This window comes from Homo sapiens, chromosome 3, assembly GCF_000001405.40.
Source record: "Homo sapiens chromosome 3, GRCh38.p14 Primary Assembly".
NCBI classification, from domain to species: domain Eukaryota; kingdom Metazoa; phylum Chordata; class Mammalia; order Primates; family Hominidae; genus Homo; species Homo sapiens.
The window spans coordinates 152,846,876-152,873,851 of record NC_000003.12 but is presented as its reverse complement, the minus strand read 5'-3'; the positions used below and the strand labels follow the sequence as shown (position 1 = coordinate 152,873,851).

The 26,976-nt window shown below is 36.5% G+C and overlaps 1 long non-coding RNA gene across 1 annotated transcript, besides 1 other annotated feature; it reads right to left on the bottom strand.

Annotated features, from left to right (window-relative positions):
- Nucleotides 265–465: a silencer, noted in NCBI's record as "peak4863 fragment used in MPRA reporter construct". NCBI's record gives its function as "represses an SCP1 promoter by STARR-seq MPRAs in K562 erythroleukemia cells {active_cell/tissue: K562}" and the evidence as "EXISTENCE:reporter gene assay evidence [ECO:0000049][PMID:32103011]".
- On the bottom strand, nucleotides 3,258–17,142 carry LOC124909450 (uncharacterized). Its single transcript, XR_007096135.1, has 2 exons — nucleotides 16,969–17,142; nucleotides 3,258–3,471 (listed from the first exon to the last, which is right to left on the bottom strand). It is a non-coding gene; the product is annotated as an uncharacterized LOC124909450 (long non-coding RNA).
- Between the last annotated feature and the right edge of the window lie 9,834 nt (nucleotides 17,143–26,976).

Below are 26,976 nucleotides of genomic sequence, written 5' to 3'. Positions count from 1 at the left end.
GCCCATGAAAGCACCCAGGAAGGGAGGTGTACCCTGCAAAGCCAGAGGGGTGGAGCTGCCCAAGACCATGGGAACCCACCTCTTGCATCAGCGTGACCTGGATGTGAGACATGGAGTCAAAGGAGATCACTTTGGAACTTTAAGGTTTAACAACTACTGTATTGGATTGTGGACTTACATGGGGCCTAGAGCCCCTTTGTTTTGGCCATTTCTCCCATTTGGAATAGGAATATTTACCCAATGCCTGTACCCCCATTGTATCTAGAAAGTAACTAACTTGTTTACAGGCTCATAGGCAGAAGGGACTTGCCTTATCTCAGATAAGACTTTGGACTGTGGACTTTTGAGTTAATGCTGAAAGGAGTTAAGACTTTGGGGGACTGTTGGGAAGGAAAGATTGTGTTTTGAAATGTGAAAGGGACATGAGATTTGGGAGGGGCCAGGGGCAGAATGATATAGTTTGGCTCTGTGTCTCCACCCAAATCTCACCTTGAATTATAATAATCCCCATGTGTCATGGGAGGGACTCAGTGGGAGGTAATTGAATCAAGGGGGTTGGGTCTTTCCCATGCTGTTCTTGTCTCAAGAGATCTGATGGTTTTATAAAAGGGCAGTTCCCCTGCACACAATCTCTCTCCTGCCACCATGTAAATGTGCCTTTGCTCTTCCTTTGCCTTCCACCATGATTGTGAGGCCTCCCCAGCCATGTGAAACTGTGAGTTTATCAAACCTCTTTCCTTTATAAATTACCCAGTCTCAGGTATGTCTTTATCAGCATCATGAGAATGGACTAGTACAGTAAAACTATGTGAGGTTTCATTGGTCTGTTACAATGAATGATCTCTGAAATTATTTTGAGTTGGTTTCTAAGATCATAAAGTTTGGGCTGATACAAAGCTTAGTCTGCATCTCAGCTATGCCAGTTATCAGTTATTTCTTTTTGCACAGGCTACTTAAACAATTTAAGCTTTAGTTTCCTTCTATGTCGAATAAGCATAATAGTATTTACTTCTTATGATATTTGAAATTTAAATTAGATAATTTATAAAATATATGGTATATTCCTTGGCAGGTAATAATTGTGAAGTAAATGTGCGCTGTCATGATGATGATGGCTATTAGTTCTGCACCACTAACACTTTTGTCTTTTATCCTTGATAAGTTAACCTATGCCAATGTGTCTCCTACTTCCATAATTCTTCTGTCTCTTTTATAGAATCCTTCTTTATTGACCTTTTTAAAGTAAATATCTCTTAAGAAATCTCTCTGGTTTCTATTCCATTTCTCATAATGCAATCTCTCCCGATCTCAAAGTCAATCTTTCTCAATCTAAAATTCTTTACATCTTTAGTCATTTCTTTAGAGATAGGATAAAGGTCCTATCTTTATCCCTGTCTTGTTTCCTAAGTCCCTGATCCAATTGACAAACGTCATAGAGGTGTTCCACCATCACTCCAACCAGTGATGTTCTGTAGCATTTGCCAATTTATATAGTGTAAATACTCTCATCATGGCCTGTTTCAAGCTGCTAACTTAACATCACTGAAGGCAGAGTTGGGGGAGACATTCATGCTGGCTCCAATATACTACTGAAATTTCCCCAACTCATAATCCCTCAAACAAAAATTCATCATTTGTCCCAATCCTAGTGAATAGCACATTATTGTCTCTATTTATCCAGACTAGAAACATCAGAGTCAGCCTTAATGGCATTTGGGGTATTCCTCAATTGGTCCTTTTCATACCCTGGGCCTTAGCTGGTGCTGCCACCTCAGCCTGGACTGTCCTTCCCACATCCTCACCATCCTCACTGTGGAAATTCTTCAAGCCTGAGATCAAACTTTGAATCCCTTAAAAAGCCTTCCTTACTCTACTCTTCAATTACAAGTAATCACTTCTTCCTCTGTACTCACACTAGGCATTTTTCTAAAAACAGAAATATCTGTAGTTGCTTCATTAAAAGCGAATACAGCTTCCTCAAGATGAGGAAAGTTCCACTGGAGGGTGTAAACATGGATTGGAGCGTTCTCAGGTCTGGTCTTCGTTCATTCATTCACCTTTCTCTCAAGTGTCTCCTACAGATACAGCCAACAGTGTGGGGATGTCAAAGGAATCCTCTCCTTTTAATATTGTGGGCTGAGGATAGATTTTTCAATACTTCCCTTAATTCTGGCAACACAGTCAAGTGAAGACTGGAATTTTAAAACAAAGCATTCAAACAAACTCAAGAGAAACACAAAGAAAACAGACGCCATGCATTGTGTGCCATCAGATGGTGTGGCTTATTCCAGCATGGAGGATTGAGTTTATTAATAAAGCTGATCTTTGAAGTCGCATTTTAAAATTTATTTTTATTTATTTTTTCCTTTTTTTCCTTTCCTCTTCCTTTCCTGGTATGTTTTAGTTTTACTAATAAATTTATATAGTATAAAACTCAAAAAGTAAAAAGGGTGTACAGCCTACTTCCACATACATACATACCCCATATCAAGCAAATAGGCATGTATTCATAATATCTTCCTTTTCTTCAGACTTTACTTTTTGGAGCAGTTTTAGGTTCACCACTGAATTGAGAAGGTACAGAGATTTTCCACATGCCTCTTGCCCCCACATATATGTAGCATCTCCCATCATTAACATCTCCCACCAAACTGGTGCATTTGTTATCACTGATAAATCTACATTGGCACATCATAATTACCCAAAGTCCATTGTTTACATTAGGGTTCACTCTTGGTGTTGTACACTCTGTTGGTTTAGACAAATGTATAATGACGTGTATCCATAGTATCACACAGAGTATTTTCAATACTCTAAAAATTCACTGTGCTGTACCTATTCATCCTTCCCCCAACAACCCTGGTCAATCTCAAATAGCATTGAATTATTTTGATTTTTTGTTATGCTAATTATATTTTTCACCAAATAGATTATAAACCTTTTGTTTGCAAGGATAGCATTTTACCCATCTCTAAATTGCCCATACTGATCAGCACTGTGTTATGTACACAATACATAATTCAACAATTTGCAAAAAGAATTTATGACATGAGAACTTTAAAGTTTAGCTTTAGAAGACTGTGATAGGCAGCAAAATATAAAAAGACATAATATGCCACATGTGGTACCTTTCCCTATATGAACTCTTGTGGCTTCGTTTGACCTTGAATATCATATAATAAAAATGATTTCATTTTTCTTTTTACTTCTCTTTTTTAAAAAAAACATGAAAGTATACTAAAACAGACAATAGTTCATTAGTTGGAGATATTTTAATGTTTTGCTTTTCTTTATCCTTCAAAAATACTAACCTTGAACTGTGATTTTGTTCTCATCCTAAATTTGCAGGCAATCACTTCTGAAGAGTCCAGCCTTGGAATGATACTAGAATTCTGGAAGAAGAATCTTGTCTCAAGGCATCTGAAAGTTTCAGTGGTGTATTTTTCTTCTTAACTGCAGAGCTTTGACTTTCTGGAACAAAAGAGGAAGAGGAGTTGTGGCAAAGACTGGAACTAACCCTTAACCTAGAAGAGAAACTGGTCAGACATGGATGGATGGATTTGGTTCAGCCCTGTTCAGACTTGCTACTCATTGCATCAATGTTCCCGTTCAATCCGTCAGACGCACCCATGTCCCTTCTGTAGAAATCAGTGAATCATATTGAATCCTGAGTAAGCGATCGTGAGCTTTACCATTTTAAGCTCTATCTATTGCTTCTGTCTCTTACTGCCTTTTCTGTCTTGCCTGCCTGTTTGCTGTCACCCTCACATCAATGTCTGTCAAGCATTTGAATAGGGAAGTAGGTTGAGAAGGGGATTTGGAATGAGGAGTTACTTTGAAAATAATTGGGCTAAAATTAAGGAGACCTTATTTGGTTCTGGTCCTCGTTGCTTTTATTAATCTAAATAATAAGCACTCTGAAAGAAAATGATATTTATTTAGCATGGGTACTGCAATGGGAATACACATACCGTAGTAAACTATGTGCTTATTCAGGAGGGTAAAGAAAGGCAATGGTTTTTAAAGAAAAATGAAGAGGAGTACACAATTATTTCGAGATAATTATTCCTGGTTACAAGGATCAATAATAAGGATGGCACCAGTTTGAAGTCAGATAGGCAGTTGCTGGGCAGATATCCTTGCAGAAGTATTTTTTTTTGTGCAAGGTTGCAATGGCCTTTGTGCAAGGTTGTGGTTTTGCAGTCTTTTCTGACAATTCCTGTTGTCAGGCATTCGTGAATGGGAACCCTTTCTTCATTGCTTTCCCGAGCTCCATCTGTCAGGATTTTTAACACAATTGCCTCCATTTTAATTCTGACAATTTTCACGTTTTTAACTAGCTCCTTGACCTTGAATGAATTCCATTATGTTTCTGGATATAATTTATAAAATTATTAAATTGCAATAAATAGTGTTATTGAGTTTTTATCAGTCTCATACTTTATGATTTTTACATAAATTGGTTATTTTTTGGAAAACAGACTTTTCTGATATATACAATGTACTGTCTAGGCAGAAAATTAGATGGGATAGTACAATGATGTGACAGTGTAATTCCAAAAGATTAACAGCATCAAAACAATTGTTAGGGAAAGAGAAGGAACTAGGGGAGAGGATACCGACCTGAGGATAATAGTGAATGGCATGGACCTCCAGACTCATCATGTAAAATTGACATTGTCAAGGGAAACGGCTTGCAACTTAGTACTCCCAACTTAGTGCTGCTTAGGTGTAGAAATTGGTTATTATTTTACACTAACAATGTTTGTTTCAATGTTTTACTTTAGTTTATATCTTTTGCTTCACTTTTTATTTATGAATTTTTTCTTTATAATAGAAAAATGTAAAACCCTAAAGTGAACAAAAAGCATAAAATAATCATATTAATTGCTCAAAATTGTTTTGACAAACTTTCAAAATTTTAGTGTTTATTATTTTCATTACTATATTGTATTATTTTTATATGATGTATATATTAATTTTTCTAAAAGCATATTCCAAGACAAGGACTTGAATGCAAATAATTTGAAATGATCAGGGGACATAAGCATGGTGGTGGGCCCATGAAACTGGGGGTGGGTAACTGGAGTTAATCTCATGGAGAAACTTCCCACCTGAAGTTCAAGGCAGGTGGATTTAAGGCTGCTGGGGTGGGTGTTAACCTTCCAGCATTTCTGGACCATTGTCAGTGTGTAGTGGGGTACAGCAGATTTCCAAGAGTGGGGCGGGTTGCCAGGGAGCCTGAGCAGAGAAATGAGAACCTTGGGGTTGAGAGTCAGCTGGAGCCCACAGAAGGGCTGGAGGGATGTGGGTGGGGCACTAACAATGTCTGCTATAATATACCACCTAATTTTTTAGGTAAATCAGTCTTTTACTTGTAAAACTTAAACATGTTTACCACAAACCATTTAAATATTAGAAAAGTGAAGATGATATAAATATTTAAAAATCATCTCAAATTTTACCATTAAGTAGCCAGTCACCATTTCCTTTAGGTGAAAACCATTCCCTATTGTGTGTATGTGTGTCAATTTTTAGTGAAGTCTATTTTCTACTTTACCTTTTTATTTCTGTGATGATGTTTATAGCCTTCTTTTGTTTTTTTAAATCTATAACTGCCCTGATTTTTATTGTTCATCATGTTAGCTTGGAGTTCTTGAATTCAAGTTCTTATTATTCTCTAAGGTGACATTGTGATGAATTTTCTTATGCTTTGAAGTATGTTTTCGTCTATATTGGGATATTTATCCTTCTTTTGAAATTTATATTTTTTTCTTAATTTCTTCTTCTTTCTTGCACATTTTATTTTATTTTACTGTGATATGTTTGTATATTTGTGCGGTATTTCCATTCACATTGCTCATAATTGAGCAGTTCCATTCAGGCTTTTTTGTTGTTGATATCATGTGAGTACACACATGATTCTTCCTAGCATAGCTGAACCAAGTTTCTTTTGCCCTTCTAGTTACTGTTTGAAAGATACTTTGTTTTCTATCCATTTTAGGTAAATATATAGAATGGCAAGGGTTGGGCAAGACCTCAGCTGAAGGGGTAATGCAGTCTTTATAATAATACTGTAGCTCTGCTCTCTCTTTGGAGATATTGTTAAATATCCTATACTGGAAGTAAGACCATTTATTTTTATGAGTCACATTTCTACGGGAGATATACTTGGGTTTCATACCATATCCTTAGTTCAGTGCATTGGTCTTACTTTTGTAGCATACTAATAAATAATTCAGCTTCTTGGCTTTAGGATACAGGGAAAAAGGTAGTCTTTCACTTTATCATCCCTTAAAACCAAAAATGCTTAGCCACTGCTATTTTCCAAGCCACATTTTCAGATGGCAGAATACCCAAGAGTCTACTATGATCGTTACTTATAATAAAATGAGATTATTAAGATATATGAGATCTCATATATCTATAGATAGTGATATATGAGATTATAGTTATATGCCATTGATAACAGTGCCAACAATTATGAGTGAACCAGTTCTTTAAAAACAAAACAAACAAAACAAAACTTCATGACAGGGCAAAAGATTTTGCTATACATCCATTTCAAGGCTTTGCCTGTGTTTCTGGAATTCTGATTTAGAATTGATCTTTAGTTAGTATCCAGCCCCACTCTTGAGTGGTACTAATAAATTATATAACTATAATTTAAAAAACCTCTTACAATACACAGAATTTACGTATTGGAGCAGAGGTTAAACAATCTGGACATTATGATAATTTCCAGTTTATTTTTAAAAATGATTCTAAATAGGTATATTATGATCTAAAATATGTAACTTAAAAACAGTACAATTTAAGGTGAGTTAAGGTGAGCCTTAACAGTACTAACAAAGTAGAAAAAAAAATAAGTAAACTAAAGGCATCTGGATCAGTCAGAACCCATAAAAGAAAAAAAAAATCATTGAATAGAGTTTAATAAAAAGACAAGGGATCTGACAAGAGATCATGAAGCACCCTTCCTCAGGCACTAGGAACAGCTAGATGGTTTTAACAGCTCTAAATTAAAAGAGGAAAGGAGAAAGGTTTATGGAACAAAGTAAGAGCCTTGGCCTTTTGAAGGGGCTATCCCTTCCATGGAGGAATACATTCACAGCCAACGCTTGAACTGGGAGGGAGGGAATGAGCAGAAAAAAAACTTTGATCCTTTTAGCCTCCTACTCTACCATCTCCTAGCAGTGTTTCCCATTGGACAAACCCAACAGAAACAAGAGGGCAAGGAAGACTTGGGGCTGGATAAAGTAGAAGTCAACCTTCTACAGCATAACAAGGCACAGCACAGAAGCGAATGGATCTGGAGGAGCAAATGGAGACCAGCCAGTCCAGCAGCTTCGTCATTTTATTTTTAAAGATCAAATTATTTTTCCATCTATGGAGGCAAAATGCAGGAATGAGCTCATCATAGAAATAAAAAGCATAATTTCCTGCATTTGCATAAACTTATAAAAGTCAGTTATGAAATCTTTTGTTAAAAAATAGTTGTTTTATATATATTACAAATATATAAGCACCCACACGCAGAATTGTTCATACTGTTTTCATAGCTTTTATTGAGTCCTACATGCAAAGGGCCTTTCTAAGGGCTTTACATGAATTTACTCATATAATGTTTAGTAGTAGGTACTATTATCCTCTCCATTTTGCAGTTAAGTGAACTAAAGCTTGGAAAGGTTGGACTGGGTTAATAATAAGAAGTGGCAGAGCTGGGATTCTAACCCAGGCATCTGGCTCCAGAGCACCTACCCCAAGCAAGTACTATCCTTACAGTAATTCTATGCTATTAGCACTCAGATGCTGTCAATTGCTTAATTTTGGAGTCTCATGAATTTTTAGTGTCATTTTTTATTATACTTGAGTAATAATTACCCAATTGGCAAACTAAGTTGGGCTGAAAGAGGTGACCCACTTCCCAAATTCTGCACAACATCTGAGAATCATATTCTGTGTTGGAATATAGCCAACTCTCTCTTTACTTGTGACTGGGCCAGTCACATCTCTCTAACCTCATTAGCATCTTGCTGATTCACTTACCAGATCAGATGTAACTCATGTTTTGTAAGCTCTAAAACCATCCTTCTGAAATACTGCACATCTTCTTAATTTAACTATGGCACTATGAAAATATTTTGCATCAGATATAATTCTAACAGAAGTTTGTGTCACCTCTTTCAGGGGGAAAAATCTAAGTTTCCTTTTATGTAACAGAATAAAAAGTATTTAGATTCTATAAGATAATTATTTCTGTACAATTTAAGAGTAAAACTAGGAACTAAATACAATCTCATGGAATTTATTTCTTTTAATTGAAGATAATTTGGGAAAATACTTCCCCCGCCCCGATTAGATTAGCAAAGCAGAACTATTCTGGATTTTTTTTTTTTTTAATTTGTAGAGACAGTCTCTCTATGTTGCCTGGGCTAGTCTCAAACTCCTGGGCTCATGCAACCCTCCCACCTCAGGCTCTCAAAGTGCTGAAATTATAGGCGTGAGCCACCAGGCCCTGCCCATTCTGGACTTCAATCTACCTAACAATAATTTTATCGTAACAATTTACTATCTAAAATAGGAATAACCCAAGAAATTTTACTTTAAAAAGTAAACAATATATAAATTTAAAAATATGGGACTTAACATCTATTACCATTCTTAGCTTAATTTAGGTTAAATTGATATCCTATAGTTTCTAAGACAGATCAGAAGAGATACCAAGAATAATCAATGTTTTTCTTAACTGCTGCCCCCTTTCACGATTGAAGTGAATGCATATTGCTATGGTTATTGATGTGGGTAAGGGAAGGTAAAGATTATCTTGGGTCCCTTGCTTCAGGGCCACTGTACTGTTGGCCTAGGGCAGTGAATCAGAAAGGTGATTAAGAAAAATGAAATGTGTGTGCCTTCATTTTGCCAAAAAGATTTAAGATTCAGATAAATTCAGTCAACCCATAATTCCCACCACCACTTAGATGAGGTATTTCATATCCTCACTTATAAAAAAGCTTGTCACTGTCCTTGTGTCACTTCTTTCAACTCTGAGTTTCTTTAGATATGGTTTTTAACCATATTTCTTAGAAACACTAGTGCTTAGGAGGGGTAAGGTACAGTGTTGCAGGGCATAATTGCTCTGGGCCCAGTGACATTCTAAAGACAGCCTTACCTACCTCAGAAAGCTGGTTAGTAAAGAGATGCATGAGCATGGACACTCCGGGTATACTTTCACTTAACAATGTGTACCTTTCACTTAATAACTTGTATGACTTTCTGCAACCTATTAGACTTCAGTTTACTTATTTGTAAAATGGGCATTATGATAATAGTATCTAACAGATGATGTTTTGAACATTACATTATTATGAAACATGTATATATGCATGTAGGCATGTAGGTATGTATCGCTCTAGCTACAGAAAAAGACTCACACGTAAGCACTTTATAAATGTTAGTTAATATTGCCTCTGATTTGGGGGCTAAAATTCCGATTCAAATATATTTGGGTAGGAACTTTCATCAAGGGTCTAATTTAATTAAATTTCTATGTTTTCTTAAATAACCAAGAATACGTTTGAAGTTACAGCAGAAATTGCATAATTTTGCAATTTGTAACATTGGATTGAGCAGTAAATTAGTCAAAGTTACACTATGTGTCTCTTATCTCCTCTGCTTTCTGTAATGAGTAAATCTTACTATTTTTGAATAATGAGAGTGCATCTATTATTCTGCTGCTATCTGAAAAAAATCACGTTTTAGACTTCAATACTGAAAATAAATTTAAATACTAAATAAATTATCCTGTTTGCTATTTAACAAAGCACTTGATCACCAAGTCATTTTTCCCTTTCATAAAATGGAGAAAGTATGTGAAAAATGATTATCTGAATACAAATGAAACCCCAATATAAGTTTGTACTGTCATCATTTGTCAGGTGATCAGACAAAATGCTTTATAATGGTACTTGGATCATCTAATTTGATTATATAAATATCAATATATTTAGAGTAACAATTTGCATAGTCAAAACTGCAGGATTGTCATTGGTTATAAAAGCAAATTCAAAATTATAATTTTTAAAATAATCACAAATAGAAAACTCAGAAGTAACTGTATAATAAACTTCTGTTTTCCTGAGCCATTTGAGAACAAGTTACCAACCTGCTACCCCATTACCCTTGGATAGTATGGGGTGTATTTCTTACCAACAAGGATATTTTTCTAAACAGCCACACTACGATCATTAAAATCAAGAAATTACAAAAAAGGTAATAAATTATCACAAATACATCAGTACCATTTACTCCTCAGAACTCCATTTAAATTTCACCAATTGTGCCAATAATGACCTTTCTAACAAAAAGATCCAGCTTAGAATCACATTATACGTTTGTCAGGTTTCTTTAGTTTCCTTCGATGATAACAGCCTCCTCAGTCTTTCTTTGACTATCATGACCTTGGCATTTTTGCAATATAAAGGCCAGCTGTTTTGTAGAACGTTTTCAATTTGCATTTGTCCAATGTTCCTTCATAATTAGATTTGAGCTGTGCATCTTTGGCAGGAATATCACAGGAGTGATGCTGTGTTGTTGATCCTCAGGTATCACATAATTTTGATTAATTCCATTACTAAAGCTCACTTTGATCACTGAAATAAGGGAGAGTCTGCAAAACTCTTCCACTGTAAAGTCAGTTTTCCCTTTTGTAATCAATTGTGTGGCTGGTACATTGAAACTATGTTTCTATCTCATTCTTTATCAACTTTCAATTTATTCATTTTTCTGTATCTGAATGGATTTCCTATAGTGTTCAGTGGGTTATAGTTCTTCACTACCATCATTATTTATTTGTATGTTTATATTGTCCTTGATTGGGCCATGCAGAGACAACCATCTCTATGGACGCCTCCTCCCCCTCCTTAGGCTCTGACACCTCATGCCAGGCTGCCCACCTAAACCTACCAGATGCCCCTCAACCCACCAGGGCTCAGGCACCCTGTACTAGGCCACTCCACCTCCCTCAGGCTGCAGGAATGCCGACCTCGCTCTGTTCCACCAAATGGCTTTAGGACTAAATTATTCAGAAAGAAGAAGCAGGGGAAGGGAAAAGGGAAAGGAGAAATGAAAAAAGAAGAGAAAAAAAGCCCAAATTACAATGTTACAATAAATTTATAGTTAACAAAATTCTGCATCTTAGAATTAATTTTCTCTTATATTTTCTCAATTACTTATAAGGAAACCATCAAGACAATCTTAGGCAATTCATACCTCTATATGAGCATAGTGGTCAGAAATTGCTTTCAAAATTCTTTTAAATAAATTTTAATCCTTGCCTATGAGTGCTTCCTGAGTCTGTAGCAAAGAACATTGAGGGAGGATGTAGTCATGCTAAGGAGAGAAAACTAATGATGGATTTCTGAAAGGATTCTTTCAGAAGCTTTACAAGTATGCAATTTAAAATGTCTTTTTCACTAAAGATAAAATAATAGGGCATGGAATAAATCAAAGTTCTTTTTGATTAGGAGGAAAAACATTTCCTTTTAAGGTTATAAAACTGTTATGGTGAAACTTACTTGGGACCGCTGTATTTTCTGCTCTTCAGATGTAAACTTTAACCCTAATCTGACTTCAGTGAAGTATATACTGTTGAAGAAACCTGTCTGCACACTTTTTGAAAATGTCCAGACTGGAGGGAGCCCAACCAAATGAACTCGGCCTTCTTAAGCCTCCCCCTAACCCGAATGATCTGTAGTGCTGTCTGGCATTCAGACACTTGTACAGCCTTGTGGTATCTCTTCTGCTGCTATCTTATATTAATTTTCATGCTTGAAAACAGTGTATGTTTCTGCTTTGCTTCATTAACTAGACTGTAAACAATTTGATTATACACACCATCCATTTAATGATCATTTTGTTGTTTTCTTCTGGATATCATCCAAAACAATAGTAGATGTGTAATTGTAAAGTGAATAAACAAATGAATGAATGAATCAATCAATCAATCAATGAGTCAATCAATTAATTAACTCAACTATGTGGCATTACCCTCAAAAAGTCTTTCAACTTGAACAGCTCTTAGGTTTGTGTTTTTCAAGAGAGAAAAAACTCTTGCTTTTAATGATCTCATTTTCACTTGCTAAATAATGAAACTATAACTTGTAAATAAAAAAACCAATTTTCCTTATATTTACAATTTAATGTAACAAAATCATCCTGAAATTCTTAGGCAATTCATACTTCTATTTGCATACATTGGTCAGAAATTGCTAAGGCAAATGATAGATTTCTCCTTATTTGTAAAAGTCAAGGAACAATTTTAAGATTTAATATTCCTACTCTGCCCCAAATAAAGTACTTCAACATCATCAGAAATTTGGTACCATTAATGGAAAAGCATTAACTGATGTCTTGAGGCAAATACATAGCTTCATTAATTAGAGTTTGTTTTTCTATCTTATTTTAACTATTCTAGTTATCTTTAATTAGGAGTTCACCAAATCTGGAGTATTATTAACATGGAGATGACAAGCAGAGCATCTCTTCAGAACATAAAATACAGCATTCAGTGTTAGCAAATGCCATTTTGAGAGAATATTTTTTCTTCCAAAGACCACTAGCTCTTTCCCCACATTTTGAAGGTGCTAATGATGTCCAGTAACGTGGCATCTCTGACAGATACAGTCTGAAGAAGGTGAATATATACATAAAAACATTCAAAGTATAACAACAAATATTTTTCCCTTTTCTTTTTAAATGTACTATTTTTTTATAAGTGACTATTACTAATAGCAATTGTACCAGATGATGATGTAATACATAAAACAGAACCTTTCCCCTCTCCCACTCCTTCAGTTTCCTGTTTAAGGCCCCTTAAGGGGATCCTGTTTAAGATCCCTTTACTATGGTCTACCAGGCTGGGCATGAGGTGGTTCCCCTCTCTTTTTGAGATCATCTCTTACTACTTCTCTGTTTCTTCACTGTGTTCTAGCCCTTCTGGCCTTATGCTTGCCCCTGAGACAGCCAAGACAGTCCCTGCCTTGTGCCTTTACCTGTGCTGTTCTCTCTGCTTGGAACTACTGGTAGTCCAAAGCGTGACTTCATGGATGTGAAGGGAGTACACTCAGCTACCTGCTATTTTACATCATCTTCTCCCACCTCAAATAAATACACACTGTAAATCAATGGAGTGTGTTTTCTCTGCAAATGTTACCTTATAAAAAAGTCCCCTTAAACTTCTTCCAACCAGATTGCTGCTGTATAGAAAATCTGGAGTCTACTGTCTGGAAGGACAGGTCTCCCAGATCTCCAAACAGCTTGCTCCCCATCATGCAAGGCTCAGGGCAAATGCCAACCCTTTAGAGAGGCATAATGTCACATTTTCTTCACCATGCAGGTCATTTTCTCCTTACTATGTTCCTTATTATCTTTTATTTTCTTCACAGCACTATCACTATCTGATATTAATTTGTTTTCATAATTTAAATTCTAATAATCACTTTTATTCCTCCAGCAGAGTGTAAACATTTTGAGAACAGGAATTGTGTCTGCATCAAACCCTCCTCTATCTCCAGTTCTTAGAATAGTGCCCAATACATAACCATCACACAAAAGCTATCTGTTGCATGCATAAAATACTACTTCTTTGCTTGACAAAATTGAATATGTGGAACAATTCTGAACAAGATAACTCCAGCAATTATATTGAGCAATTGTATGACAATTTCTATTGCCCTCTAAACAATATTTCTTCAGCATAGTTAAATGTTGCTCTATTTATATCCAGGTACTTTTAAGTAAAGGCAAATGAGTAAGCTGAAAAATGCAAAATTATATTTATTAGAGTTTCAGTGTTGGGCCCAATTAGTCAAAAGAGAAAGTCATCAATTTTCCATCTTTTTTCCCAGACCTCGTGAATGGCCTTGAAATTCACCCCATTTATTGTTCAAGCAAGACATTTGGAAGTTGTGAGGCCTAGACTTCTCCCTCATCCCCTGCACATTCAATAAATCCTATTAATTCTGCTACCTAAATATATTTTCTTGATATTTACAATGGTGCCCACTCTCATCCCATCATGTCTGAACTAACATGTACTCAATATGTATTTTGGGATTTGGAATATAGTACTTCATATTCTGATTTTGAAAACAAAATTTTTCTTTCTTTATAATGTAGATTAAATTATTCATTCATTTTCAATTATTAAAAGGAGAATCATTCTGAAAAATAAAGAAAATTCTAGATATCATTGTTAAAAATGTACAGATCTTTAGGCAAATAGATGTCTAGTATAATTTTCAATTTTTAAGAAAACATGTTTTATTCCCTCAAAAGGTCAAAGAATTCCTCAGATACATTAGTGTTCAGAGAATTTGACAGATTTTTCTAAATGACATAAAAAATAATTGCAAGAAATTAAAAAATAAAATTTAAGCTTTTCTTATTGGTTAGAGATTTGGAAACTGCAGTTGTTTCGCTTTAATAATACAATTTGTACTGAACAAAACGTTCTGCTGTTGTTGGGTTGCAATGAAGTGTTTTGAGAGTCATAGTCAAATATTCCTTAAAAAACAATTGAAAAGAGAAAATTACTGGAGGGCACTTTTCATGACAAAGGCAGACTAAATTTTATGTAATATTGAAAAGTATAATAATAATATGAAGTTAAATGTATTGTGGGAAATTGACATTGTTCAAATGGTATAATCAGGTAGTTTTACAGTACATATAATTATGATCAACTATCATTTTACTCCAAATGTTTTGTTATTGTGCAAAGAAAGCAATTTTGAGATTTCTAGATATTTGTGGTATTTAAAATTATCATTATTTTTATTTATTTGCTCTTCTGGCAGATACAAAGAGATGGTTGAAAATTTCTGATATGAAGTGAATATAGAAGACAATGAGCTAGCTGAAATACTTTGTAAATTTATATGCAAATAAGTGGAGAAACCTACTAATGTTATTTCAAATGTTTGTGAAATATGCAATGAGGATTTTTTAAACTGCTGAACATCCAATAAAGTGATAATTGTCTTATTATGGAGAAAGACGTTACTATAAGCGCACAAAAAGATTAATAATCTTCTTAGCAGTTGATTTTAAAACTGAGTTGATGTACAAAGAAACACTACAATCTACAAGTTAAGATTTGTTGTGCCATATAATGGAATCTGACAAGGCTGAAAAGATTTCAATCCTAATGAGTGCTGTATGAATGCTAACAGGAATACCATGGGGAATGACTGTGCTTGCCAGAATTGGATTTGGAAGTAGCAGGAGTAATACATCCTGGCAACCAGGGGCTGCTTGTTCTTTTAGGGTTTGAGACATGAACAGCAATGACAATATAAACAGACACTCAACAACATCATACTTTTAGAATCAATACATTTTGCCATTTGGCCTTTCAGGGCAACTGGTTCTTTTACTCTGTCCCTGAGAACACAGTGTTCTTTAATACTTCCTTCTTGAACCTCTGCCCTCTGGCTTCCTTCCCCTCCAGTCTAATCATCTTATTATGAGGTCCACCACCCTGCTCTCCCTCTATGCATATTCTCATTCCTCATTTAACGCTGCTGACCACTACTTCCTTCTGGGTTGCTTAGGCACCACATTTTCCCCTTCCCTTCTTTGTTTCTCTGGGCATTCGGTCCTGGTTTCCTCAGCTGAGTCTTTTCAGTTTTACTACAAACCTCCCGAGTTTGCCTATAACTGCAGCTGATTCCACTGACCTCTTCAGGCAACCTCTACCCAACGGCATTTCTTAGGTTCCCATCCTCACATTCCGGTATTCACCATTAACGACCATTCATTGAGTGCTTAGTAAGTGCCAGGCAGTTTTACAAAGAGCTTTACACAAATAATCTCATTTATAGCCGCACAAGAACTCAATGAGATAGGTATGATCAATGCCTTTTTTTTTTTTAATTTTTGGGGGGTTGAGAAAACCAAGGCTCAGAAAGGTTAAGTATCTTACTCAATTTCTCATAGTTAGTAACTGTTTGGATTTGAATTTAATTGGGCCTGAGTCTTAAACACTATAGAATATAGGCCCCCAATTTGTTAAGCATTCATATGACAAGACTTACCTGACCTTATGGTATGACTGCTTGTTTCTGCTTCATTCATACACTTAGTTTCCATTTTGAACTACCCATCTGGTAACTGGGTTCCTCTGTATCTAAATTTCTGCATTGTTATCCAATTACTTCTCTTCCTGTTGGCTTGGGAATGAGGGACCAGGGAAAATCAGGCAGAAGAAGGACACAAAAAGTCTAGCCTTTCTTTGCACCTTCCAGGCATTTGATGTGCAGAGTCCTATCCCATAATGAAAGTCCAGGGTCTGGAGACCCAGTTATAAACTGACAGATAGCAGCTTGCAAAACAACCCAGTAAAGTGGGCAGACTACCTACCTGCTATAAGACTGACTGGTCAAGCTGGGGAGAGGTTGATGCTGGACTCATAAAAGGAACCAGTCCAATCTCAGCCAAAGTGTCACCACTGAGCTGTGACAGATATGGTGCCATGGATTGTGTCACAACACCCTCTTTTCTGACCTTCCTGAGCTTTCTCATGATCTAGTCTGATTGTGTCTCATGAGTCAGCTTTCTCCTTTGGTGTGCTCCCTTGGCCTTGGCCTTAGTCACCCTACTGGCTAGTTCCCTCTGTCTGGCTTCCTCTTGACCCATCACTCTGGGTTAGCTGCACCCTTGACTTTGCTTTTCCAGCTCCGCTCCTGACTGTCTATCTTCACAAGTACCATGAGTTAATTTGCTTGCACTTGTGAACATCCATATCACTGGGCCTTGTGCTTGCCCTGCCCTCCCTGCATCTTCCTTACCTGTGGACAACTGCTTTAGCCCTCAGCCTCTCTCAGACTATTCTCCACTCTGAGGTCCTAGAAAAACACAGGACTTCTTCACTAGCCCTTGAAACTGGTGTATTTGCAAAGATCTTACCTTTCACTCTTGACCTTTGAACAAATCTCCTTAGGGACTCATCACTTCTCATGCTTTTCTCATTCCTTTCTCATCACTTTCGAATATATCCTGTCTTGAGTGTCTCTCTTGCTCTGAGTCTTGCCACTTTACTCAAAAGGGATTCCTGGGCACATTTCTCTCTCACTATAGCTTCTGACCAAAGGAAAAAAAAATCACAATATCAGCTCTAAATTCTCAATTGTACTCATTATTTTCTTTCTTTAAAATCAACTTTATTGAGGGTTAATGTAGATACAATAAAATGCAGTCACATTAAATATACAGTTTGATGAGCACTGACAAATGTAGATAGACACCTGTAACAGTCACTGCAGCCATAATACGAAATGTGTCCATCACCCCAGGAATTCCCTTATGCAGTTTTGCAGTCAGTCCATCATCTCCCCTGCCCCCACAGTTTATTAATCTATTCTCTTCATCTATTTTCTATCAGTATCTTTTAGTTTTTCTGTCTAGAATTTGTTTTATAATAATGGTAATATACAATATACTCATTTGTGTTTGGCTTCTTTTTCTAGCGTAGATTCATCCATGTTGTGTGTGTCAGTAGATTGCTCCTTTTTGTTGCAAATAGCATTCCATTGTAAAGATCTATACAATTTGTTTTTTCACTCATCTGTTGATGGATATTTGAGTTATTTCCAGTTTTGGCTATTCTGATTCTCTTTTTAATATTTTAGTTTAACTTTTTAATAAAAACAAACTTTTAAAGGGTTTTTGAGACAACTGTAGATTCACATGCTGTTGAAAAGAATAATACAGAGAGATATTATGTACCTTTTACACAGTTTCCCCTAAAGTTAACATCTTGCTAAACTATAATAAAATATCACAAACAGGATACTGACATTGATAAAGTCAAGATACATTTCTCTCACCCCAAGAATCCCTCATACTGTCATTGTATCGTTACATCTACTTTCCACCTTCTCCCCCTCCTTTAATACCTAGAAACCACTAATCTGTTCTCCATATCTACAACTTTCTCAAGAATATTATATGAATAGAATATAGGCTGAGCATCCCAAATCTGAAAATAAAAACTCTGAAATTCTCCCAAATCTGAACTTTTAGAGCACTAACATGATGTTGAATAAAAGATCGCATTAGAACATTTCAGATTTCAAATTTTTGGATTTGGGATGTTCAATCAGTAAGTAAATGCAACTATTTCAAAATGTGAAAAAATCTGAAATTGGAAACACTTTAGTTGCCAAACATTTCAGATAAAGAATACTCAACTTGTAATACAATATGCATTCTTCTGAGATTTTTTTTCCCATTCAGATTAATTATCTGGAGATTCATCCAGGTCATTGGCTAGTATCAATAGTTCATTTCTTTTAAGTGAAGTGGTTTATGCTTGTAATCCCAGCAATTTGGGAGATTGAGGCAGATGGATTGCTTGAGTTCAGGGGTTTGGGACAGCCAGGGCAATATAGTGAGACCCCATCTCTAAAAAGTAAATTTAAAAAAATTATTAAAAAATTATGTATTAAAAATAAGTAAAATAGTTCATTTCTTTTTATTGTTGAATAGAATCCCATGATACAGTTGTACCACACTTTATTTAACCAATCACCCACTGAAAGATACCTGTGTTATTTCCAGTTTTTGGCTATTACAAATAAAGCTTATATAAACATTTTTGTACAGGTGTTTGTGTGAATATAGGTTTTCATTTCTCTGGAATAAATGTCTAGAGACAATTTATAGGTCATATGGTGACTTCACATTTAGTTAAAAAAACTTTTTCAGAGTGGCTGTACCATTTTACATGTCCATCATCAATGCATGAGTGATCTAGTTTCACCACATCCTCGCTAGTATTTGGTGTTGTCACTGTTTTTTATTTCAGTCCTTTTGATAGATGTGTAGTGCTATCTCATTGCAATTTTAATTTGTAGGTAATGATAAATCTTATTTATTGTGTTCATTTGCCATCTGTATATCCGTAAGTCTTTTTCTTACTTTCTACTTGAGTTGTGTTCCTAACTATTGATTTTTGAGAGTTTTAGAAATATTCTGGATACCATTCCTTTGTCAGATAAGAGGTTTGCAAATATTTTCTTCCAAGCTGTAGTGTGTCTTTTTATCCTCTTAAACAAGGTCTTTCATGGAGAAAACATTTTAAGATTGGTGACATTCAATTTCTCATTTTTTTTCTTTTTTTTGTATCATGCTTTTGGTGTCACCTAGAACTGTATCCTAGCCCTAGGCTCTGCAGATCTTCTGTGATTTTTCCAGAGTTTTATAGTTGTATATTTTACATTTAAGCCCATGCCTCATTTTCAGTTAATTTTTCTATAAGATATAAAATTTTAGATCAATGGTTTAGGGATCTATTTTTGTTTTGTTTTGTTTTGTGTTTTTGGCAATAGATGTCCAATTGCTTCGGCATCATTTATTATAAAAGGTTATCTTTCTCCCATTTAATTGCTTTTGTCTCTTTGTCAAAAATCAGTTGGGCATTTTTGTGTGGGTCTATTTCAGAGATCTCTAACCTGCTCCATTTATTTGTTGATCCCTCTGTCAATACCACACAGTCTTAATTACTATAGCTATATTGCTGTGTTGTCTTGATTCTTCTCACTTTATTCTTCTTTCTCAAAATTGTTCAGCTATTCTAGTTCTTTTGCCATTCTGTATAAATTTTTAATTAATTGTGTTTATATCTATAAAAAGCTTTCCTGGGATTTTGATAGATTGTATTAAACATGTGTATCAATTTGGAGGGTACTGACATCTTTACTTAATTGAGTCTTCCAATCCATTAACATAGTATGTCTCCATTTATTTAGCACTTTGATTGCTTTCATCAGTTTTGTGTAGTTTAAACATGTAAGTCCTGTACATGTTTTGATAAACTTACAACTAGTATTTCATTTTTGAGCTAATGTAAATGTACTGTATTTTAAATTTCAGCATCCATTTGTTCATTGTTAATATATAGAAATGCAATTGATATTTGTATGTTTATCTTGTATTCTGTGACCTTGCTGAACTCAGTAGTTCCCAGACTTTCATTCTGAAGATTCCTTGGGAATTTCTACATGAGCAATCATGTCATCTACAAATAGAGAGACAGTTTTGTCACTTCCTTTCCAATATTTGTGTTTTTTATTTGCTTTTCTTATCTTTATATTGGCCAGAACTTTCAGAATTATGTTGAATAAGAGTGGTAAGAGAGGACGTTTTTGCCTTGTTCCCAGTCTTAAAGGAAAATCATTTAGTCTTTCACCAATGAGTATAATTTAAGTTATAAGTTTTTAATAGATGCTTTTTATCAAGTTGAGAAAGTTACCCTTTGTTCTTATTTTTTCTAAGTGTTTTTATCATGAATGCATATTGTATTTTCTCAAATGGTTTTACTGAATCAATAGTATAATCATGTGATTTTCTTTTTTTAGACTGTTAACATCATCATTACATAAGTGGATTTTTGAACATTGAATCAGCCTGAGTCCCAGTAACAAACCCCATGTGGCCACGGTAACTCTTCTTATATATAGCTGAATTTTATTGGCTAATATTTTGTTAAGAGGTTTTGTGTTACAGATATTTTATATAGTTTACTTTTTTCTTCGTTTTATACTCTTTGTCTAGTTTTGGTATCAGAGTAATACTAGTTTTATATAATGAATTGGGAGTTGTTCTCTCCTCTTCTGTTTTTTGGAAGAAGTTACATAGTATTGATGTGATTTTTTTCTTTAAACATTTGGTTGATTTCTTCAGTGAAACCTACTAGGTTTGGAGATTTATTTTTAAGGGATTTTTAAGTTACACAATCACTTTTCTTAATAATTACAGGGCTATTCAAATTATTTCATATTGGATGAGTTGTATTAAGTTTACATTTTCAGAGGAATTCATTTATAAAATTTTATTTCATAAGGAATTTCACCTCTTATATACATAACTTATCAAATGTTTGTGTGTAAAGTTGTTTGTTGTATTCCCATATTGTCTATTTGATGTCAGGAGGGTCTATACTATATCACTTGCTTCATTCTTGATATTGTCATTGTCTTCAATTTTTCTTTTTCAGTCTTGACAGAAGTTTCTCAATTTTAGTGGTTTTTAAAAGAGCTATCTCTTTGTTTCATTGATTTTTTTCTGTTGATTATGTGTTTTCATTTTTATTGATTGCTGCTTATACCTTTATTATTTTTTTCCTTTTGATTGTTTTGGATTTTGCTATTTTTCTAAATTGTTGAGAGATTAAATTGTTGATTTGAGTCTTTTCCTCTTCTCTAATTAAGAATTTAGTTTTATAAATTCCCCTCTCAGCACAGGTTTAGCACTGCTTTTGCCACTGAATGTAGGATTCTGGGTTAGTGGTTTTATTATTCTTTCAGCACTTGAAAAATGTTGTGCCACTTCCCTCTGGCCTCCATGGTTTTTAATGACCAATAGACCATCTTTCAAATTGCTTTCACCTATAGTTTAGGTGGTGCTTCTCTTTTGCTGCTTTCCACATTTTTTTAATCTTTAGTTTTCAAAAGATGATTTTAATGAGTCTTGGTTTAGATTTCCTTGGGTTTCTGAATCCACAGATTTATGTCTTTTCCTGAATTTGTGAAGTTTTTGGCCATTATTTCTTCAAGTACTTTTTTAGCCCTACCCTCTCTCTTCTTCTGGAACCCCAACAACACGCATGTTAGTTCCTTTGTTAGAATCCCACAGGTCCTTGAGGCTTTGTTCATTTCTTTTTCGAACTTGTTGTTTCCATATTGGGTAGTTTCATTGTCCTACTTTCATGTTCACTGAGTCTTTCCTTTGTCCTGCCACTCTGCTGTTGAGTCCATCTACTGAGAAGTTAGACTTTTTTTTTTTTTTGATGGAGTCTTGCTCTGTTGCCAGGCTGGAATGCAGTGGCATGATCTCGGCCTACTGCAACCTCTGACTCCCTGGTTCAAGTGATTCTCCTGCCTCAGCCTCCCAAGTAGCTGGGATTACAGGCACATGCCACCATGCCCAGCTAATTTTTGTATTTTTAGTAGAGATGGGGTTTCATCATGTTGGCCAGGATGGTCTCAATCTCCTGACCTAGTGATATGCCTACCTCAGTCTCTCAAAGTGCTGGGATTACAGGCATGAGCCACCATGCCCAGCCAAGTTTGACTTTTAAAAAATTTTGGTTATTGTATTTTTCACTTCTAAAATTTCCATTTATTTCTTCTTTATATGTATGTATTTTTTACTGAGATTTTCTACTTCTTTGCTGAAACTGTTTTTTCATCTGTTTCAAGTGTGTTTGTAATTGTTCATTGAAATATTTTTATGATAGATGCATTAAAATCTTTGTCAGATAATTCTAACACCCCTGTCATCTCAGTGTTGGCATCTGTTGTCTTTTTTTCACTTAGTTTGAAATCTTCCTGGTTTTTGGTATGATGCATGATTTTCTATTGAATCCTAAACATTTTGGATATTATGTTTTAAGAATCTGAGTCTTATTTAAACTCTGTTTTAGCCAACTTCCTTTGACACTGCTCTAGCAGAAAAAAAAGAGAGGGTGACACCTCAATACTCCTAGGTGGGAGCCATAGTTTAAGTTCTCTACTCAGCCTCTTTGACACCCACTAGGAGGGCTCCTCATTACTGGTGGTAGGGATGAAAGTTCCAGCTCCCTAGCAGGCCTCCACTGATTCCTCACTGGCTGAAATGGATTGGAGTGTCTTGTTACTATTCCCCCCAGGCCGTCTACTGACATCACAGGAGTGGCCTCTTTCCCACCAAGGGGTAGGAGAAGTCACAACTCTCTGCTCGCTTTCCACTGATGCTGAAAAGGAAGGTGGGGGTGGGCGGTTAGGCTTTCACAGCCCAACAGGCATTAAAATCCAAAGGTTTCTACTTGTCCTTTTCTGATACTACCCTGGCAGCTGTGTTAGGCACCTCATTATAGCCTGGTGAGGATGGAAATCTAGGATCTCCACTTGACCTCTGGGAACATGGGGTAACGTTTCTTTCTGAGTTGTTTGGCTGGAGTAGAGCAGTTATTGAAAAGTTTCCTGTTTGATATGCTGCTCCTTCCCGGTTCCTTTCGTTCAAAAGCAGGGTTTGTTGGGGCTTTTTCTGTCTGTGCCCATTGGCATGTTCAGGTTGCTGGTTTCTTCAGTTCCAAATCTGAGATTTATGAGGCAAAAAGAAAACTCAAGGAACTTACCATCATGTCATTCCTTAGTTCTTGAGATCCATAATTGATTTGCTTTCTTCTTTCCATCAGCCAGAATCTTCCTGTGTTTATTTCATATAAAGTGTTGAGGGTTTTCAGTTGTACTTAGAAGCAGATATGGGGAAAAGTATATCTAATCCATCTTCCCAGAAGTAGAAGTTTATCTTTCATTCTTCTCTGACTTGTCCTTAGGACATTTCCTTTTTGGAAATGGGCCCCATCATCTCTTCAAACTTAACTTGCCCATTTATGGAAATACAAAGAGGCCCATGCCTTGACCCTGACCTGAGCCACACCCTGGGCTATGGGGAGATAACAAGAATAATATGTTTGGGTACTCTGAGCCCTTTCTCCTATGTGTGATCCAGGGAGACATAAAACCTCCAAAATAGAAATGACTGTGTGGGATCTAAGGGGACGTTCTAGGAGAACTCACAGGGTACCCCATGCCCATCTCATGCCCCAACAGTAAAATCCTGTTAGCCTAAGAGGGGCATAGAGTCCACCCAGCAGAAATGAAGGGATTTCTGTGAGTAGTGACAGGGGTGACTAAGCAGTACACTGCACAGAGATAGTCCACCTCACATGCTGCCAGCACTGAGAAATGACAATGTGGACCAGCTTCCCTCATTTCAACAACTTCACCGTTATGGACTCCAGTCACAACTTCAAGGAGAAGGGCCGGGGAATTGAATAAAGTGAAATTAAATTTCTGCTAGTTTAGCAAAAAAGAGGCTCAAAATAATTAAGTTGAGCTATAAAAAATAGAGTGATATTTCTTACACAGGGGCTGGAGAGGCTCATACACTATTTTCATGCTTTTTAAATATTCTCCTGCTCCCCTTTCCAGCACCCTATTTCTTGAAGAGTCACCACAATTATTCTTGATTCTCCAGGTGGAACCTCAGTTATTCTTGAATTTTCCTTTCCTGCTCTCCATTGTGTGTAGACACCACTGCTGATTATTCCTTCTTCAAAATATTTTATGGTTCTGCCTCTTACTTTACCACCACCATCATGCTTTGAATGTCATGCTTAGAGCATCAGTGTCTTAGCAGGTCTCCTTGTTCCCCTTGCCAGATCTCCAAACTGTCATTCCTCTGATGTAAAATTTTCATGGCTTTTTATTGCCTACTGCAATGAATGCAAACCTCTCTGTTTATTCCTTTACAGTGTGGTTTTATTCTGCCTCGTTATACTTACTTTCTTTCATCCACTAAACCACAGTGAGCCTGCTTTCTCCCGTTCTTCCTCCCAAGTCCATCCTCATTCCACTAGATTTGCTCTTTTTTTCCTTCTCTCTCCCACTTCCCAAAAAACCAAACCTGGAGTTTCTTCCTTTCTTATCCTTAAATATTAAATCCTCTTCCACCTTTACATCCAAAGTAGTAACAATTTTCTCCATGAATATACCTTCTTAGTGTACCCTAGTTCAAGCAGCACTTAATTTGACACAAAACAATTCACAAATGGAGAATAGTAGAGAGTAAATTTTATCAAGAAGAAGCTATGAACATGGCTTCTCTCTCTCTCTCTCACACACACGCACACACACACACATATATATACACACTTCTTTTCATGGCCTTACCAAATAATTCATCTCTCCATGTTGTTTTTCCAGCATACAGTTTCAAGGTAGTCAGCTTCTTATGTGGTTGCTCAGAGGTCCAAAAGACAATGTCTCAACCAACAAGGCTATATGGTCCTTGTTGTATGTGGCTATGATCTAGTATCAGAAATCACAACACATCACTTCTGCCATATGCTGTTGGCCAAAACAGTCACAAGCCCTCTCAGATTCAATGGGATGGACTGTAGACCCTAACACTTAATGGGGAGAATGACAATGAATTTACAGCCATGTTTTAAAACTATTGCCAAAGCTCTAAATCACTACCTGAAGCCAACCTATTTCCCTATCCCTGACTCCATCTAAGGACAGACAATCTACCTGAATTATAGAAAAATTTATTGCCAAAGTTCCTATTAAAATGCCAATTATTTCCACCCTGGGATCTTTCTAAAACTTGCCTTTTTAATTTCCATAACAGTATAACATCTTTGGTACAAATTTGCTTGTAAGCAAACTCAGATCTTTTCTTCTGCACTCAGTTCATTCAGCTCCCCTCCTACTTCTAAACTTATCTTTTGACCCTACATCTTACCCTTTCTTTGTATGCATTCTGAAGACACAATTCTTTCCCAAGGAAACTTCTGTAACCCCAACCTTTCTTTACAAAAATCTGCTGACAACTCCCCAGTAAATATTTATCTCAGAACTTGAAACAAAGCTATCATTCGACCCAGCAATCCCATTACTGGGTATCTACCCAAAGGAAAATAAGTCATTCTACCAAAAAGACATCTACACTCATATCTTCATCACGACAATATACACAATAAAGATATGGAATCAATGTAGGTGCCCATCAATGGTAGACTGAATAAAGAAAGTGTGATACACATACACCATGGAATACTACACAGCCATAAAAGAGAATGAAATCATGCCCTTTGCAGTAACATGGATGCAGCTGGAGGCCATAATCCTAAGCAAATTAATGCAGGAACAGAAAACCAAATGCTGCGTGTTCTTACTTATATGCAGGAGCTAAACATTGAGCACACATAGACATAAATATGAGAATAATAGATGCTGTGAACTATGTATTTGTCAGTTTTCACACTGCTGATAAAGACATACCTGGGACTGGGTAAATTGTAAAGAAAAAGAGGTTTAAGGACTTAAAGTTCCACATGGCTGGGGAGGCGTCACAATCATGGCAGAAGTCAAGGAGGAGCAAGTCATGTCTTACATGGATGACAGCAGGCAAAGGGAAAGTTTGTGCAGGGAACTCCCATTTTTAAAACCACCAGATCTCATGAGACATATTCACTATCACAAGAACAGCATGGGAAAGACCCACACCCATGATTCCATTATCTCCCACCAGGTTCCTCCCACACCATGTGGGAATTCAAGATGAGATTTGGGTGGGGACACAGCCAAACCATATCATTCTGCCCCTGGCCCCTCCCAAATCTCATGTCCTCACATCTCAAAACTAATCATGCCTTCCCAACAGTCCCCCAAAGTCTTAACCCATTTCAGCATTAACTCAAATGTCCACAGTCCAAAGTCTCGTCCAAGACAAGACAAGTCCCTTCTGCCTATGAGCCTGTAAAATCAAAAGCAAGTTAGTTACTTCCTAGATACAATGGGGGTATAGGCATTGGGTAAATACAGCCATTCCAAATGGGAGAAATTGGCCAAAACAAAGGGGCTACAGGCCCCATACAAGTCTGAAATCCAGCAGAGCAGTTAAATCTAAAAGCTCCAAAATTCTCTCCTTTGACTTCGTGTCCCACATCCAGGTCACACTGATGCAAAAGCAAAAGGTGAATTCTCACAGTCTTGGGCAGCTCCGTCCCTGTGGCTTTGCAGGGTACAGCTTCCCTCCTGGCTGCTTTCGTGGGCTGGTGTTGAGTGTCTGCAGCCTTTCCAGGTGCACAGTGGAAGCTGTCAGTGGATCTACCATTCTGGGGTCTGGAGGACAGTGGCCCTCTTCTGACAGCTCCACTAGGTGGTGCCCCAGTAGGCACTCTGTGTGGGGGATCTGACCCCACATTTCCCTTCCACACTGCCCTAGCAGAGGTTTTCCATGAGGGCCCCACCCCTGCAGCAACCTTCTGCCTGGACATCCAGGTGTTTCCACACATCTTCTGAAATCTAGGCAGAGGTTCCCAAACCCCAGTTGTTGACTTCTGTGCACTCGCAGGCTAAA